At 39.3% G+C, this 18,886-nt stretch overlaps 1 protein-coding gene across 7 annotated transcripts in view; it reads left to right on the top strand.

Annotated features, from left to right (window-relative positions):
- The window catches only part of OPHN1 (oligophrenin 1), a 391,498-nt gene that overhangs the window by 237,451 nt on the left and 135,161 nt on the right, over nucleotides 1–18,886 (top strand). For all 7 annotated transcript variants that reach the window (XM_011530961.2, NM_001437258.1, XM_006724653.3 and 4 more), the window contains 3 exons: nucleotides 1,893–1,926; nucleotides 2,439–2,501; nucleotides 3,398–3,472. In XM_011530961.2, coding sequence (XP_011529263.1) covers nucleotides 1,893–1,926; nucleotides 2,439–2,501; nucleotides 3,398–3,472 — 172 coding nt within the window. The remainder of the gene's footprint in view (nucleotides 1–1,892; nucleotides 1,927–2,438; nucleotides 2,502–3,397; nucleotides 3,473–18,886) is intronic.

Genomic DNA, 18,886 nt, shown 5'->3' with positions numbered 1-18,886 from the left:
ATTTCTTTCTACCTATCTCACAGGGTTGCTTAGAAAAAACAGATGGAAGTCATCTTGTAAACCACAATGTGCTAGCCGATCTGAATGATGGGATACAAAACTCCTAAGATCCAGCAGTGTTCAGATACAGTCTTATTTCTTTGCTGTATTCAAGTGAAAAACTGGCTAGGAGGGAAAATGCATTCTAGGTTTTTCTTTCTATGTGTCCTCAGTATCCTGGAGAATTTAGAGGGGTAACTAGATCCCAGATTGCACTTATAGTAAACTGGAAGGTAGCAGGAGAGACTTGGTATTCTGAAGACTGCCATCCAGAAAATATTCCAGCACTGTCTTCCTTCTGTCACCTTCCAGAAACCTGCTGCTGAACTCTTTCATGCTTGTGACATTTCTGTAGGCAGATGCTGGGAAGCTCAGCAAGGCATTTATCTTTCAATTCCCTCTCCCAAGTTTGCTCTCCCTTTAGGTTTTCAAGAATCAAAGGATGCAGATGGCTTTCTGTGGAGAATGATGTGAGCACATGGGCCCACTGAATGTGGATCCATACCAACTTGATCATGGCAGATTTTTCCACAAATCCCTTGTTTAGAAAAGTAGCAGAAAAGGCTGGCTGGCACAAAAATATCTCCCACTGAAATATCTGTGGGCATACACACATATGCAGAACTTATTTTAAGGAGAGGCTGTTCAAACAGACTCTTAACAGATGGCATATAGAGGGCTCATTTCCTGCAACCTCACATTACTAATGTTGTTGCTCCTTTACTAAACACTCCAGTTCACTAGTCTTACAAATCTCATCCATGCCTTTGCCTAAACTGTCAAAGAAGATCAGGGCTTGAAGGAATGTCTACTCCAACCCTGATCACTTTACTGATATAAATTTTGAGATCTGGAGAATGGAAAGGGCATGCCCAAAATTTCCTAAGAGGTAGAGGTAGAGCCAGGACTAGACTTCAAGAGTCAACAGTCTTCTTTCTGGTCTCTCACATAGCTATCACAGCACATACTCCAAGACAACACAGACAAATCTTGGTGTATTCATGGATCTCTTTCAGATGGACATTTGCCTTTCCACAGAGAAGTATTCATCAACCAGTCTTTGAGGGTGGGAGATTGGTGTTAGGAACATTTAAATTTTATAATGCCCATTAGACAGGTACATAGCCATGAGGAAAACACTTTCCTGGTCTCTTGCTTTATCATAAAAATGCCCCAGGTGTTACATAAGTAAATATCTAAGATGGATTAGCTAAAACTGTAGCTATGGTGAACTGTGTGAAATTCAGTGTAATTTTCAGGGATTGTTCAAGTATTTTCTTTCTTTCTTCCTTCCTTCCTTCCTTCCTTCCTTCCTTCCTTCCTTCCTTCCTTCCTTCCTTCCTTCCTTTCTTTCTCTCTCTCTCTTTCTTTCTTTCTTTTTTTTTTGACAGAGTCTCGCTCTGTTGCCCAGGTTGGAGTGCAGTGGTGTGATCTCAGCTCACTGCAGCCTCCACCTCCTGGGTTCAAGAGATTCTCCTGACTCAACCTCCCAAACAGCTGGGATTACAGGTGCACGCCACCATGCCTGGCTAATTTTTGGATTTTTGTAGAGATGGGGTTTCATGATGTTTGCCAGGCTGGTCTTAAACTCCTGACCTCAAGTGATCTGCCTGCCTTGGCCTCCCAAATTGCTGGGATTACAGGCATGAGCCACCACGCCTGGCCTGTTCAAGTATTTTCTAGCAATCTTGGCAAAGCAATTATGTTTAGCCCACTTGGCTATCTTTTTAACATCCTGGAGTTTCTAATCATTTTTAATGCCTATCTGGGGAAAGATATTTAATATTATGTTCTCTGTTTTCCTATATTGATTGACAATAGCCATGGATCTTTCTGTTTATCTTCTTTTGTAGATCTACCACAGCCCTATAACAAAACAGCAAGAAAGTGAGTCACTTAAGTTTTTGGTCTACTAGCATTATAAACTGCCAGCTGTCCGATTCATAGTAAATACCATCATTAATGATGTGTACTACTAACGCAAGTCTGAATATGGATGCCTTTGTGTGAAATAAAATTCAGCCATATATTTTTTAAATGTGTCTGGTAATTGAACTAAGGTAGACACTTGGTGTTAGCTTACATCGTGGGTAGAGAAACATATCCTTCCTGTTCTGGAAGCATGATAGAAATTGTATTTTTAGGCTAACATTTCACATATGACTTTGCTCATGCTGAAAGCAGACAATTCAAAGGGCTAAATATAAGTATTTTGTGTTATAAGAGTTAAAATGTTAAACCTCCCCTGAAAAAATGACTCTTTCCATTTAAGGGTGACTAGAAATGAGCAACTAAAAACCCTTAGCTCTCTCAATGCAGTCCCTTTGCATGGTCATTAAATGTTTAATAGGTGACACCTGTTGCAGCAGGATCTAACTCTTTTCCTTTGCTTGAAACAGTGGAGCTAAATGAAGTGGGCTTCAAGTTTGTCAGGAAGTGCATCAATATTATTGAGACCAAAGGTAAGATCTGAACCATAGTCTTGGCATTGTCTGAATCTCGTCACTCTGATTTTATCCTGGGCAATTTCTCTGAAGTAGCGTTTTAGGAATGAAGACTGTTTATAAAGCTTGTGTAGTAGATGCAAGCTAGAAAATTTCAGAAAATTCTAAACTAGTGGTATGCAAGCATATTTGGATAATTTGGATTCCTGCTTTTAAAGAGCTTATAAGTTTATAAAGTATTCTCAAACAGTACCTGGCACTCCTTAAGCAGTGTCATGATGGTTCTATCCTAAATGATCAAGAGTTCAATTTCTGCCACAGTACATACTGGTATGAAAATTGATGGGGCAGAGCCAAACTCAGGGAGATGTGGAATCAGCATTCTTCCTGGTTGCCGATACTCCCTGGTTTCCTTCTGAGGATATTTAGACTGTGGGCAAGTGTGGTATGTGAATCAAGTCTCTTTGTTCTTTGAAATGTTTTTTTAGTCTTTCTTGGTGCAGGAAATGGCCTTTTGTTTCACAGCTGCCTTACTCCAGCCCTCTCGTGATTTATATCACTGCTTAGAAGCAACTTGAGGGTTGATCCTTCCTCCTTTTTCAATTGAATGAACTTCTTTCTAAGATGGCAGCACCATTCTCAGCTTTCTGCTGCCGCCCAAACTAAGCATATGCTTCTATTTACTATAGAGTTTGTTTTCTTCTCTTCAGATTAATGAGGGTTTGGTACACTCCAAATGAAAGGATGGATAATTTGGAGAGATGCTGTAGGACTATTCCCCTGTTACAGGGAAGGCTGGAGAACTTGGAGTATGTAGTGTGACCCCTTCCTATCTGAATTGACCCTAGTGTACCAAGGGGAGATGACAACTCTAGCTATACAAGTGAAATTAACCTGATTTTTTCCTCCACTAGGGATCAAGACAGAAGGGTTGTACCGCACTGTGGGCAGCAATATTCAGGTTCAGAAGCTGCTGAATGCCTTTTTTGGTAACAATTTTACTTTGATAATTCTTATTGGGAGTACTTTATGTGTTACAAAGAAATGTGACTGGAAGAGAAAGGAGACACTGCTAAAATGTGGTAGAATAGTTGAAAAAAGTATTTTCTAAAGTAAAACATACACATACTTGCCCACCCTGGGCAGAGTCAATCGTACCTTGAAAATGGCTGTTATCTCTCCTTCCTCGTATCCCATTCACTCCAGAAACCCTCAGCAATACAACTTCTTTCCCTACATCTCAACTGGAACTGTGTGGCCAGGCTTAGTCGGTATCTTCTTACCAAATCCAGTGAATACTTTTGAGTTTGTGTCTTACTTGATCTCCTTGTTGACCACTTTCTCTTTTTTGAAACTTTCTCCTTACATGACTTCGTGACTTCCATAACACATCAGCACTCTTCTGATTCTTCTCACATCTTTTTTTTTTTTTTTTGAGACAGGGTCTAGCTCTGTCGCCTAGGCTGGAGTGCAGTGGCATGATCATGGCTCACTGCATCCTCAACCTGAGCCTCCTGGGTAGCTGGGACTATAGGCGTGTGCCACTACACCAGGCTGATTTTTAATTTTTTTGTAGTGATGGGGTCTCACTATATTGCCTAGGCTGGTCTTGAACTTCTGGCCTTCAATCATCCTCTTGCCTTTGCCTCCCAAAGTGCTGGGATTACAGGCATGAGCCACAATGCCTGACCTCTTCTAACATCTTATAGGATTCCTTTTCAATAACTTGCTGAACCTTTATCTTTCTGTTTTTTACACCTTGACTGTGTGTTTCCTACAGTTCTATCTTTGTTCTTGGTTTACTTCTTTTTTTTTAATATGTTTTTCTATTGATTGATTTTTTTTTATTCTGGTTATGGCTCACATTTTTGTTTCTTAAAAAACATTTCTTGTAATCTTTATTGGTTGCTGGATGTTGTGACTTACTGAATGTCTTGATTTTGTTGATTTCTTTTAAAGAGGACTGAATTTTGTTTTGTGGGCAGTTATTTGTGGATCAATTTGATTTATTTGAGTCTTCTTTTTAAGCTTTGTTGGGCCAGATATAAAGTATCCACCCCCAGGTAAGGTTGTTGAGCTCTTTTTCCACATAGCTCACTCTTCTCTGGTACTGTGCCTTGCTAGTTATAGCTGCTTCAACCTTCCTAAACTTTGATCCTTATCTCTTCAGCTGAGCAAGACTTCCATGCTCAGCTTGAGTTCCCACTCCATCTGCTGCAATCTAAAAAGTGCTTTTAAGAAGCAAGCTGTGGAGAAGGTAGCAGTTATCTTGTTTGTATCCCTCTTCTCAGAGTCATAGTCCTGTTTTGTCTGTTGCTCAATAACTACATGCAGGAGTTTCCTATATACTGTCCAGTTTTCTAGTTGTTACAGCAGGAAGGCAAGTCTGATACCAGTTAGTCCACCATGGCTGGCAGTGGTATTCTCTCTTTATGCTTTTTACTAGCACCTCTATGCTGACAACTCACAAAATCTCTGTTCCAGACATCATCTGATGAGTTCTAAATGCAAATATTCACTTGCCCACTGCACTTGTGCTTCTCAGTCATATTAAGGTCATGGCACATATCAGAATGATCATCTTTATATAGCATGCTCGGGTAAATGGACATCACTGAGGCAAGAAGCCCTAAAGGCTGAGGGAGTCAATATTGGAGTCTCTGCACAAGCTCTCTTTACATAGATGGTTCACAGGTATCTACCTGCATTTCTCTCCCTGCAAACCTACCCTTCTTCCTTTCGTGGGTGGCAGTGAAGCATCTTGTAAGCTGAGTTTTCACAGTGTCAGAGAACAAATTGAGTGTGGAAAACTGCAGTTTGGATAAAATACATATTTTTTGGTCCTTACTGTGATGCATAGCTAATCTCTCACAAGCCTGCAGGTCTGACAACCAACCCTACTCACATTTGAGGATGTTACAGCACTCAGTCATAGCAGGTGTGGTTTTTGAATTCCAGATTACATCATTAGTACCTCATCATCTGTTTTCATTAATCACCTTACATTCTTGACTTTTAAAAATTTGGATTGCTTATTCCTGGTCAATTTGCAACCCATCTCATTAGCTAAGGACACTTTTTCATATGTAAATCAGCTGACATCGTGGTCCAGCATATTGAATCTCTGAAAAATTATTGAACTCAGATATTTATTCAGATAACTATTGAACTATTGAAAATTCTGTTTCCAGTATCACTCTTATATCTGTTGTATAATAAGCTAAAAAATGCCATGCCAGGCATCCCACTGATTCTCTTATGGGCTTTAATAGGACTGAAGTGGCTCCTTCAAATCACACACGGCAGTAGAATTTGATTCAAGTATTAAGGAAAGTGGTAGAGTTGGTGTATTTCATTTATTCAAAACCATCCTCCAAATATTAACTCTCATAGGAATATCTAAAATATAGACCAGGAAGTTCTAGATATAAATATTGATAGATGCAATATAAAACTGTTAACTTCCTTATTTGTATATGAAAGTGGCAACCCCGATCCCTGCCCCAAATGTATGAAACTCCAGATGTGGTGATGATCCTCATTCATTTATTCATTGAGCAAATATTTGTGTGCCTACCCGGGCATCAATCATTGTGTTTAGGGCAGTGGATTGAAAAGTGAACATATTCCCTGTGTTTTCCACCTTTGTGGGGCTTACATTCTACTGGGAAACTGTCTCTCAGTTACCTTTCAATGTCTAGTTATGTGGGGAGACCTTCCTTCTAAGTTTATTTCATGTGATGTCCTCTGGCGTGTCTCACTGGGATCCTCAAAGCTGTCTTGCTTCTTTTCACCCTTTCCTGATCTAGTCTCATACCACTAGGGGCTTGTTGCCTTGGCTGCATGTGGACCCATCATGATTTATCCTGGAGGGTGAACATCCATTGCCTTTTGGTTACGTAACATCTCTCCCTCTTTTTTTTTTTCTTATGTCTCATGCTCTGTGCTAGTCAAAAGGATACTTCTTGTTATTTTTTTTTACCTAAACAACCCTCAGACTTCTTTCCCTATGACATCTCCTATAACTTGTAACTGTAGGCTTTCTTCTATCGTTTACTAAAGCCTTTTCTTCTTCCCCTAGACAAAAGTTTGTCTTTTTGGGAAATAAAATATATCACAGAGTATAAAGTCAAAGGCAATACATTCATAATCAATAGTTATTTTCAATCACGCTGTTGGTTGGTTGGTCACATTCCTTGCCTACACCAGATTTTTGTATGATGCTTTATGTTAATAGGTTTTATGTGAGGATTAGAATCTTCACTGGTGCTGGATCCATTGTAAGCCACCTTGGCACAGAGAAGCCAATCTGATTATCTCAGGGACAACTTGGAACCTCGTGTAAGAGTTCTGTTTCAGAAGGGGAACATCACACACTGGGGCCTGTTGTGGGGTTGGGGGAGGTGGGAGGGATAGCATTAGGAGATATACCTAATGTAAATGATGAGTTAATGGGTGCAGCACACCAAGATGGCACATGTATACATATGTAACAAACCTGCACGTTGTGCACATGTACCCTAGAACTTAAAGTATAAAAAAAAAATTAAAAAAAAGTTTAAATCATAAAAAAAGAGTTCTGTTTCTCTTTCCTTTATCAAGCTATAACTATCTTATTAATGAAAATGCCCCCCATTGTCGTTATAGTCTTAATAATCATGTTGTGCTCCAGAGACTCTTAAGTATTTCACAATGGAGCAGATGGGTGAGATGGGGCATGGACAGCAATGAGACTGGTTGTATCAGCAGGGGCTCTTGATAGAGTTGAGCCTGGTTGGCAGCCATAAACAGGAAAGTGTTGTTCTCACAATCCCCTTACCATGCCAGAGGCCTATGGATCTAAACAGAAGAGGACCTGCTGTAACGAGTGAAGTAACAAGTCACTTGTAAGATGTTATTTATGTTATTTTCATTTCCTGTTTAGATATTTAAATTTCTTATTTCATCATTATGGCATTAGAATAAGATACGTGGACTTCTCAGAAACTAAGTGGAATACCTAATATATATAGACAGATAATAGAGTAGGAATATGCATACAGTCATTTTTCCATTTTCATAATTAATGTGAATTATTCAGCATCTGGAGACTTAACTTTAGCATTAAATTCACATATATTCGGACAAATAGATAATAAATACATTAATCAGAAATACTTTCAAGTTATGTGACCTCTTTGTTTGAATGAGAAATTCAGAGTCCCCTAGCAAATAAAACAAAAATATACCACACTCCACTTCAGGAGTTGCAGAACTTGAACTCTATATGTTAATCTTTAAAGCAACTGTATATGTTAACCGTTTTTCTGATACTGTCGTATGATGTGATCTTTAGCTTTCCATACATATCAAGATACTTTATTCATAAAGCCAGATCCTTGTATATGTGTGTATATGTATACATGTATGTCATAAATAGATTTTATATAGGTTCATTAATCATTACTATACTTACTACTTTAAATACATTGATTATTCTCAAATCATGCTTGCTTTGAAATAGTACCACTAGAGTTTGAAGTAATTTATCAATGGATATTTACTGTTACCCTTTCCAAATTATTTCCTATTTGCATTTGACTATGAAACTGAGTTCAAAAACTTTTAGAAATAAAGTTTGTGATATGAATATTTGTTCCTTTTCTATTATTTTCTCAATATGTGAATAATTGATAGCAAATTCATCTTTAGTTCTCACCTGACATAATGCCATTTCCTAGCATTCTTGTAAGTATGTAAACAGTAGGATAGGAATTTTTCTCTTAAAGGTATTTTAACTTAGCAAAAATAATTTCAGTTGTTGACATATGAATCTAGCAATGCTGTTATCCCACCTGCTTCCTGCTGCAGGGTTTCTGACTTGGGGAGAGTCTTTCAGCTATGTCACCATGAATGAAGATCCAGGGGATTGTTTGTATTAGTTTCCTAGTGCTGCTGTAGTAAATTATCACAAATTTAATGGCTTAAAACAATACATATTTGGCTGGGCACGGTGGCTCACACCTGTAATCCCCGCACTTTGGGAGGCCAAGGCGGGCGGATCACGAGGTCAGGAGATCGAGACCATCCTGGCTAACATGGTGAAACCCCATCTCTACTAAAAATACAAAAAATTAGCCGGGTGTGGTGGCGGGCACCTGTAGTCCCAGCTAATCGGGAGGCTGAGGCAGGAGAATGGCGTAAACCTGGGAGGCAGAGCTTGCAGTGAGCTGAGATGGCACCACTGCACTCCAGCCTGGGCGACAGAGCAAGACTCCACCTCAAACAAGCAAACAAACAAACAAACAAACAAAAAACCAATACGAATTTATCCTCTTATAGTTCTGGAGGTCAGTAGCCTAAAATCATTCTTCTGGAGCTAAAATCAAGGTGTCAGCAAGGCTACTTTTTTTTTTTTTTTGGAGAAGACAGTCTGTTCCCTTACCTTTTCAGCTTCTAGAACTTTCCTTGTCTCATGGTCCACTTTAACAACACCAGGCAGAGTCCCTCTCATGCTGCCATCACTCTGGTTCTTTCTCTTCTGCCTTCCTCTTCTGCTTTAAAGGACCCTTGTGATTACATTCATTCCACCCAGATCATCAGAATAATCTTCCTATCTCAAGGTCATCTGATTAGTGACCTTAAACCTATCTGTAACCTTAATTCTCCTTTGGCATGTGACTTAACATATTCCCAGGTTCCTGATATTAGTATGTGGACACCTTTGGGAACCAGAAATCTGCCTACTACATACACTATTCCATTCAGAGTTTTAGGACACTCCCTCTGATGCTGTTAAGTGGACCCCGAGGTCATTCTTGATTCTTCCTTTTTGGAATCTGTGGTAAGACCTTTAGGCAGTGGTTATCTTATTGACTTATGACTCATTGTGACGTTCTCACTTACTTCCTCAAAAGGAGCAGAAATAAATTCCTTTCATTGGCATATGACATCTGTTAGGGAGTGAATGTTTGTACTTCCTCCCCCATTTATATGTTGAAAGTGACTCCCCAGTATTGGTATTGGTTTTGGAGGTGGGGCCTTTGTGGAGTAATTTGGGTTGAATAAGATCATAAGGATGGGGCCTTCATGAATGGGATAAATACCCTTATAAGAAGGTGCCAGAGGGCTAGCTTACTCTCTTTACACCATATGAAGATGTAACCTGGAAAAGGTCCCTCATCAGAACCCAACCATACTGGCACCCTTATCTTAGACTTTCAGCTTCTAGAGCTGTGACAAATAAATTTCTGTTGTTTATAAGCCACTCAGTCTCTGGTAATTTGTTATAGTAGCCTGAAATGACTAAGATACCATGTTTTCCAAGATGTCTCAGCTCTTTGCCAGCCAGAGTATCATTTACACTTTTCTCTGGAGAAACTTGTTCTGTACTCAGTCTGTTCACTTTTTTTCCTATGGCACTTCTTTTTGCCACTAGCTTTTTTTTTTTTTTACTGTAATATTGTCAAACATGCTGTATCCCAGAGCCAGTTTCAGGTGATCTGCCTGAAATGGATTGTGGACCCAGAGCAACCAATTTACCCTCTTGATTTCTGTTGGTAATACTAGGATCCCCAGAGCCCCCATTTTGAGCCAGGTTAGGCAGATGAACTATGCCCTGAGCATCTCTTATGTCCTGCAGTGTTCATTCTTTCATTCATTCAACATAGTAATCTTGAGTACCTCCTAAGTGCCAGATATTGTATCAAGTGGTAGGGATGTAACAGTGAAGAATGGGGAAAGAAATCACCAGCCTCCTGCAACTTAGTGTCTAGCAGCAGCTATAGTTCATAGATACAGTCACATATTTTTCTCCCAAAATAAACTCTGGAATATCCCAGATTTGGGATTCTGTTGATCCTCACTGGCAGCATAAGGACATGAAGCAGTATAGGCAACTGGAAAAGAGAAACCATAGTCTTCCCCTTGGAAAAAAGCAGCCTATTTCTTAAACCAAGATCTTTCACCATCTTAATGTAAAGCATATAAGGAGAATATATTAACTTTGGGAGACTGTAACAGTTTTCCTTTTTCTGATGTGTAATGTATACCTTATTTCATCTGCTTGAACTCCATTGGCTTTCAATTTTTTCCAGGTCTTATTGTTTATCTTCTGCCTTGCCTCATGATCCCCTTTCTCCTTTTCTTTAGCCTTGTCTTACAGCTCTCTCTCTCATTCACTGATTCACACAACATTTATTCACTGCATACGCTAGTGTTTAGGGCTACTGCTTACCTCCCTTTCTCTTTTTTTTTCTCTTATTCTTCACATATCTCCTTTGCCTCCTATTCTGACATGCTTATACTATGACTAGCAACCCGCTTTCATAAAATCTTTTCTATGAGCATACATTGGAACCCTTCTAGATACAAGTAGCCAGACAAGGTGATCATAAATGAAAGACTAGTCTTCCCTATATCAAATGTAGCTGTCATCTGGGAAAACTGCATTTACAAAATGCCCAGGTGGGTAGTACATGCTCTGACATTTCTCTGTCCATGTTTCTTTACTAGATGCCTGGATCTCTAGGAATCTGGTATTCAGCATAGTGGATGACACGTAGGAAATATTTGTGGAATTAATGAATACTTTTTGTGATGCATGTCTCTTCCTAGAGAATGTTTGTTTTTCTCAAAAACATGAGCCATTCCATACATGGTTGTATTTTGTTATGCTACTGCACAGAGTTTCTGTTGTATGTAGTTTCACAAAATATAGCTTTTGTTAATCTCTGCAGATAGTATTAGGACCACCAAGTTATCTGAACTGACATGTAATTAATATTTGCAAATAACGATAATAAGCAGCAAATCAGTAGGATTTTCCCATGGGAAGCCATATTTCTCAAAGATTTCTACATCCTAGTCAGAGGTGATTCTTCATTTAAACTGTGTAGATGATAATGGGCAAAGGGAAATTGTAGCTTCTTTTCTCTGTTGGAGGGCATGTTTTATTTCTTCTTGTTGTTGCCTTCATCTTTTCCCCAGTGCTTCCTGTGTTGACCAGATGATCACATCCAGCTTTAAAACCATTCATGGGGATAGTGGCTCAAGCCGGTAATCCCAGCACTTTGGGAGACCGAGACGGGCAGATCACTTGAGGTCAGGAGTTCAAGACCAGCCTGGCCAACATGGTGAAACCCCATCTCTACTAAAAATACAAAATTAGCCAGGCATGGTGGTGGGCGCCTGTAATCCCAGCTACTCTGGAGGCTGAGGCAGGAGAATCGCTTGAACCTGGGAGGCGGAGGTTGCAGTGAGCCAAGATCATGCCATTGCACTCCAGCCTGGGCAACAACAGTAAGACTCTCTCAAAACAAAACAAAACAAATCAAAACAAAAACATTTGTATCTGAATACAGTGTTGATCCATCTTCCCACCCCTTCCTTTTTTTTTTTTTTCTTTTGAGACGGAGTCTCGCTCTGTCACCCAGGCCGGAGTGCAGTGACGTGATCTCAGCTCACCACAGCCTCCGCCTCCTGGGTTTAAGCGATTCTCCTGCCTCAGCCTCCCAAGCAGCTGGGATTACAAGCATGTGCCACCACACCTGGCTAATTTTTGTATTTTTAGTAGAGACAGGGTTTCACCATGTTGGCCAGGCTGGTCTCGAACTCTTGACCTCAGGTGATCTGCCAGCCTCGGCCTCCCAAAGTGCTGGGATTACAGGCATGAGCCACAGCGCCCGGCCCCATTCCTCTTTTTGACTCATTGCCTTTTATTTTTTTTATTACTATTATACTTTAAGTTTTAGGGTACATGTGCACAACGTGCAGGTTTGTTACATATGTATACATGTGCCATGTTGGTGTGCTGCACCCATTAACTTGTCATTTAGCATTAGGTATATCTTCTGATGCTATCCCTCCCCCCTCCGACTCATTGCCTTTTAAAGCATGCTGTGGTCTCCCTCTAGTGGAGAAATTGCCATTTCAGAAAGAAAAAAATTCACAGCCTAGAGTCAGGTTATATTTGTTATGCCTTTATATTTGAACACCTTGTAAATTGCTGCTTATCAGTCAATTTTCTGTTTAGGTGTTGTAGAGTAAAAAACAATTTTTCTTCAACTCTCGTAAGTTCTTAGTCAGAACATACCCTTGTAACAAAAGACAAGATTAGTAGGAGAAAACAAGCTAATTAATACGTATATTTCATGCATACATGGGGGATACCCAGGAAATGAGTAATTCTCAAAGAGGTAGCTTTAAATTTCAGGTTATAGATCACCTTCAACAAAGAATAGTAATTTTTTAATTGTATTTTTTTTAAAGATGTGACAAGACAAAGTAAAAGGACTTTGAATCTCTAGTGGCAGCAACATCTGGGAAGCCAAATAAATGAGAGATGACAGCTAGTTAGTAAGGCTTGTTTATATAAATTCCTCTGCTACCATTTCTAGGCCAATAAGTGTCTAAAGTTGTCTTTAGTGGTTAACCTTTTTAACCTTTGTTCTCCCTGGTAGAAAGGGGTGTTGGGTTGGGATACCTTCGTCTTTGTAAATCTATGTTCTGCTTTTAGGCAAATAGAGGGAGGGCAGAGAGCTTTCCTGTACCTGCTGCTTCTTAATTTTCTTCAGGTCAACAATTCTTTGTATTTTGGGGTGGCATATTATGACCTTCCATAGTATTGTATCTTCTGAAGCCAAACCTCATCTTACTCAAAACAGTTAATCACCTCCTCTTCTCTACCAGTTATGTACTTAGTGTAATTTATATTATTGTAGATTTCTTGCTGTTATGTAGTTACTTCTGGGTATATCTGTTCTGCTTCACACTTCAGCATCTTGAGTAGAATTTCTTAATCTTGATTGACAATCCTATCCAGAATTTCCAGAATGTTTAGTTTAATGGAGTGTTATTATGGGCCTTTGTATTTTCCATGTCCCTCTGAAATTCCTGGAAATGTCTGAAATTTGGAACAGATACTGTTGTCAGCAAGTTACCTGAATGGATATGTAAAAAGCAGGGGTGGCAGAGCTTCTTGGGCAGAGCCTCTGTTTTTTCTTTTTCTTTTTATCTTTTGACAGAGTCTCACTCTGTTGCCCAGGCTGGAGTGCAGTGACACAATCTTGGCTCATTGCAACCTCTGACTCCCGGGTTCAAGCGATCCTTGTGCCTCAACCTCCAGAGTAGCTGGGACTACAGGCACCCGCCACCAGGCCTGGATAATTTTTGTATTTTTTGGTAGAAACAGGGTTTTACCATGCTGGCCAGGCTGGTCTGGAACTCCTAACCTCAAGTGATCCGCCCATCTTGGCCTCCCAAAGTGCTGGGATTACAGGCGTGAGCCACTGCGCCCGGCCAGACCCTCTGTTTTCAACAACTTCAGTATTTCCATGGAGTTCCCTAGGCCCATTCATTATCTTTTCACAGCCTCAGCTTGGTGCTCTTATCTCTGGGTACCTTTTAGACATTAACAACCCATACCTCTTAGATTTCTGAAAAGGCCAAAGGAAGATCTTGTAGTTCCACTTCTTTGTTTCTTATGAGTCTTTCTTCTCCCTCCTTCCCTCCCTTCCTCCCTTCCCCTCTCTCTTTCTCTCTGTCTCTCTCTCATTATCCTCTTACTCTTCAGAGTCTTCCTGTCCTGAGAGGCCTTTATTCCCCAGCAGTTCATTATCCAAGGACCATGCATGTTCCTGAGAGGAACATGGGTAGGACCCCCTCAGTGGGTATTGGTTGTTTCAACTACCCCCTAGTGGAGAAACTACCATCATAGGAAAAAAAAAAAAAAAAAAAAAAACTACAGAGCTTCTATGTCAGTCCCAAGATTTTATCAAATTGTAATTATTTGTACACTCCCAGTCTGTTCCTCACTCCGGTGCCTAAGGTGTAGCCATTGTTCTATGTCCATATGTACCCACCAGTCGTCCGGGAGATCCTACCACTATCAAGCCAACTGTTGAGTTTGATAGTTAATTTGCCTTCTGCAGAGATGAAATACTTGCTTTAATGGCTTTGGCCATCTAGCCTCTGGCCAGAGTTCTAGACATAGGATTTGTGAACACCATGGACTTGAACTCAGGATTTAGATGTAAGTGGAAAGTGACACTAAGATAAAGATGGAATAGGGTTGCCAAATTTATTTATTATGTATTTATTTATTGATGGAGTCTTGCTCTGTTGCCCAGGCTGGAGTGCAGTGGCGCAATCTTAGCTCACTGCAACCTCTGCCTCCCAGGTTCAAGCAATTCTCCTGCCTCAACCTCCCAAGTAGCTGTGATTATGGGCACCTGGCCCCATGCCCGGCTAATTTTTTTTAAATTTTTAGTAGAGACAGTGTTTCACCATGTTGGCCGGGCTGGTCTCAAAGTCCTGACCTCAAGTGATCCACCTGCCTCGGCCTCTTAAAGTGCTCGGATTACAGGCGTGAACCACCATTCCTGGCCTAGGGATGCCAAATTTAGCAGGTGAAAAACCTAGGGTTGCCAGATTTAGCAGGTGAAAAACGAAATACAGAATGCTCAGTTAAAATTCAAATTCAGATAAACAGATTTAGGACACACTTACACTAAGAAAAAAATAGCCATTGTTTATAAGCAATTCATATTTAACTGGAAATTCTGAATTTTATCTGGCAATTTTAATCTGGTTCCAGATTTTGCAGGATCTTATCAGTCATGTGAAGGATTTTAGTCCTTAGTATGTATAATAGCAATGAGAAACGGCAGAGGGATTTTAAACAGGGAATTTGTATCTTGTCAAATAATGATTCGAACAGGCCACCAAAATAGTCTTCTGATCAAACAAATTCAGGCTTGTTACTTACAGCACTAAGGAAGGCCACTACCATTGCAATATTGTCTTAATAACCTTTCAGAAGGGGAAAATCAGATGTGGAGGGATTCATATTTATAAGGTTTTTGGAGTCTGGTTTGTGGCAGGTCTTTCATTGTTGGGGCCTGAATGATTGAGATTGGACAAACTTCATGATATAATTTTATGTCAAAATTATATCAAAGTTTGTGATATATTTTTTTCAATAGTTTTTATGTAAAACTTTGAAGAGTATCAGTCATTTGATAAACCCATTTGAGAGATGTTCTGAGAAGTGGCTGTTTACTCAGATGAGGACTGCTTGATAAGCATTGTTCAGAAAAATTGATTTCCAGGAAGTTTCTGAAACAAAGCTATTCACAACTTCCTCTTACTGGAAGAAATTTCCTGGAATAGTAGTTGAAGTTAATGCAAAGTATTAAATAGAAACGTCATATTAATGTGGGTGGTAAACTGTATGCCTGCCTTTGGTTCCGGTTCTCTTTAGCCTCTGCTGGTTATTCTTCAGTCTTAGATGAGCTTCACAAACTGTATGTTCATGGCACACTTAGTTTCAGTCTAAGTAATTTGCCAGGGTATCTGTAGTCCAAGAGATGTACCTAACGTCTCCATTTATTAAGTAATTAAGTTGAACCAACTTAGTAAGTTTGCACATTCACACAACTTAGTAGCCATATCATTCTTATTGAAAGTATTTTTATCTTGTCATTAAATGACCCTATAATCTTTTTAATGCTGAATATGTTTCAGAAACATTAATATTAAAAATAACGATTTTAATAAAAAAGATACCTGCTCATCCTAAAAAATTTTAAGCATTAAAATGTGTTCAGAAAGCGTAGTGAAAATTCACCCCAAATCCTACTCACCAGGAATACTTATTTTTTAACTTGGTGGCCTTTATTCTAAGTATATTTCTATGAGTATACACATAAACTATTTTAGAAAATTTAGATCATAATTGATGAAGAAAGAATTATCCATGATACTTGGATATAGTAAGGTAGACATTTTTTCAACAGAGACTACTGCATTGGGGTTTTATAGTAGGAAGAGAGATTGAGCTCAACTCCAAATACAAGGAAATTTATATCCAAGGAGCAGGATGGGTGTTATGGCTTGAATATCCCCTCCCAAACTGAAGCGTATCTGCCACTATAATGTTATCAAGAGGTGGAGCCTTTAAGAGGTGATTAAGTCATGAGGGCTGTATTTTCATGAGAATGGGTTAGTTACTGTGAGACTGGGCTCCTGATAAAACAATAAGTCTGGCCTAATTTTCACTCTGTCTTGACCACCAACTTGCCCAGCTGTCATGGGATGATGAACATAAAGACCCTCACCAGATGACAATGTCATGCTCTTGGATTTCTTAGCCTCCAAAATCATGAGCCAATAAACTGGTTCATAAATTACCCAGTCTGTGGTATTGTTATAGCAGCAGAAAATTGACTAAGACAGTGGGAAGCAGTGGATGGAGAAATGCTAAGAGGAAACATCAGGAGTAAGGAGAGATTGTGAGTAAACTGACTTGATAGGATACTTGCTCAAAGCCGGATACAGTGATCAGATACCTAGAGTAGGAGATTTTCACTAAACTGACTCAGCAGGATTCTTACTGAAACCAGACTATGTGGGCCAAAGACAGGACCCAAGGTTGGGACCTAATCAGAAAGAGAATTCAGAGGAATCTGACTCAAGTTTGCTCAAGGAGAGAATCTTTTTCATAATATAAATGTTTTATATTCTCAGCAGTGTCAGAGAACTGGACAAAGATATACATTATTGCCTCTCTCAGAGAATAATATTCTGTAAGGACTAATAAAAGAAACATAGAACTAAGGTAGAATCATAAAAATTGGAAAGGAGGAGGCAATATCCATATGTTAGAGAGGCTATACTTGTTAGAAAAATCAAGAGCTTCACCTAAAAAATTCCTGAGAAGGAGAATTTAGTGAGATAGTTGATTGAAATTTCTTTCCTATATACAACAATAAATTGTATAATAAAATGGAAGAAAAATTCCCTTTGAAGAAATTAACCAAACATAAAATACCTAGGTCTAAACTGAGCAGGAAATGTGTAACATCTATATGGAGAAAAGCTTGGAATGCTAAAAGGGAACTAGAGAGAAGGCTTGAATATATACAAACACAGAGCCACTTTTTGAATTGGGATATCCAGTGTGGTAAATATGTCAGTTTCTTACTGTATAAATATAATGCAGTCACGATGAAAAATATCTGGAAATTAATTTGTTTGGAACTAAACAATCTGCTTCTGATGTTTATATGTATGTATCACCTTGAGCCGAGAGTCAGGAAATATTTGAAATAGAAGAACCATACCTAGAAGTAAGATATATAAGAAAGTTGCAATTGACAAAAACAATTTGGAATTTGTACATGCTTAGACAGTGAAAACAGTATAGTGAATTCAAAAGTAGACCTGGGCTGGGCGCAGTGGCTCACACCTGTAATCCCAGCACTTTGGGAGGCCGAGGTGGGTGGATCACCTGAGGTCAGGAGTTTGAGACCAGCCTGATCAACATGGTGAAGCTCTGTCTCTATTAAAAATACAAAAATTAACTGGATGTGGTGGTGCGCACCTGTAATCTCAGCTACTAGGGAGGCTGAGGCACAAGAATTGCTTGAACCCAGGAGGCGGAGCTTGCAGTGATCCAAGGTCACGCCACTGCACTTCAGCCCAGGTGGTAGAGAGAGATTACGTCTCAAAAAAACCACAAAAGTAGATTCAAATATATGTGGCAATTTAGCGTATGATAAAGGTAGAATTTCAGATCATTTGGAATGAAGTGTTTAATTCAGTTTATAGTGTTGATAACTGGCCATACATTTGGGGAGGTATACATTTCACCTTATAAAACCCTTTGCACAATTTGAATTTTGAACTCTTCAACAAAGAGCTAGTTTAAAAAATAAATTAAAGGGTTGATATGATTAGGAAATTTTTAAATGTATATTTGTCTGTCTCTGTCAATTCACCATGTTCACAGACTAGGCAAAGGAATAAAAATGCTGCCATAGGAAAACAAAACCTACCTAATATAGTGTGTAATGGGGTATTTTGACATGGATATATCAGAGATCAATAAAATTCTCCCAAATGTAAGTATTAATGTTAAAATCTCCAAACTTTTCTAATTGAGATAATACAAAATAACATATACACTGCCAGTCAATTGGCATAACATTCCTCTTAAAATATAGGTCTATTCTATGAGCAGCTGATATGGTTTGTATCTGTGTCCCTGCCCAAATCTCATGTTGAATCGTAATCTCCAATGTTGGAGGTGGGGCCTAGTAGGAGATGATTAGATCATGGGGGTGAATTTCTCGTGAATGGTTTAGCCTCATCCACTTGGTGCTGTTCCAGTGATAATGAGTCAGTTCTTGTGACATCTGGCTGTTAAAAGTGTGTAGCACCTCCCCACTCTCTCTCTTCCTCCCATTCTGGCCACATGAAGTGTCAACTCCCCCTTCATCTTCTACCATGATGTAAGCTTCCTGAGGCCTCCCCAGAAACCGAGCAGATGTTAGCACCATGCTTCCTGTATAGCCTGCAGAACCGTGAGCCAATTAAACCTCTTTTTTTTTAATTAAATTATGCAATCTCAGGTATTTCTTTAT

Source organism: Homo sapiens, chromosome X, assembly GCF_000001405.40.
Source record: "Homo sapiens chromosome X, GRCh38.p14 Primary Assembly".
Classification (NCBI taxonomy): domain Eukaryota; kingdom Metazoa; phylum Chordata; class Mammalia; order Primates; family Hominidae; genus Homo; species Homo sapiens.
Note: the sequence above shows the minus strand (reverse complement) of the source record. Positions and strands in the feature narration are given on the sequence as shown.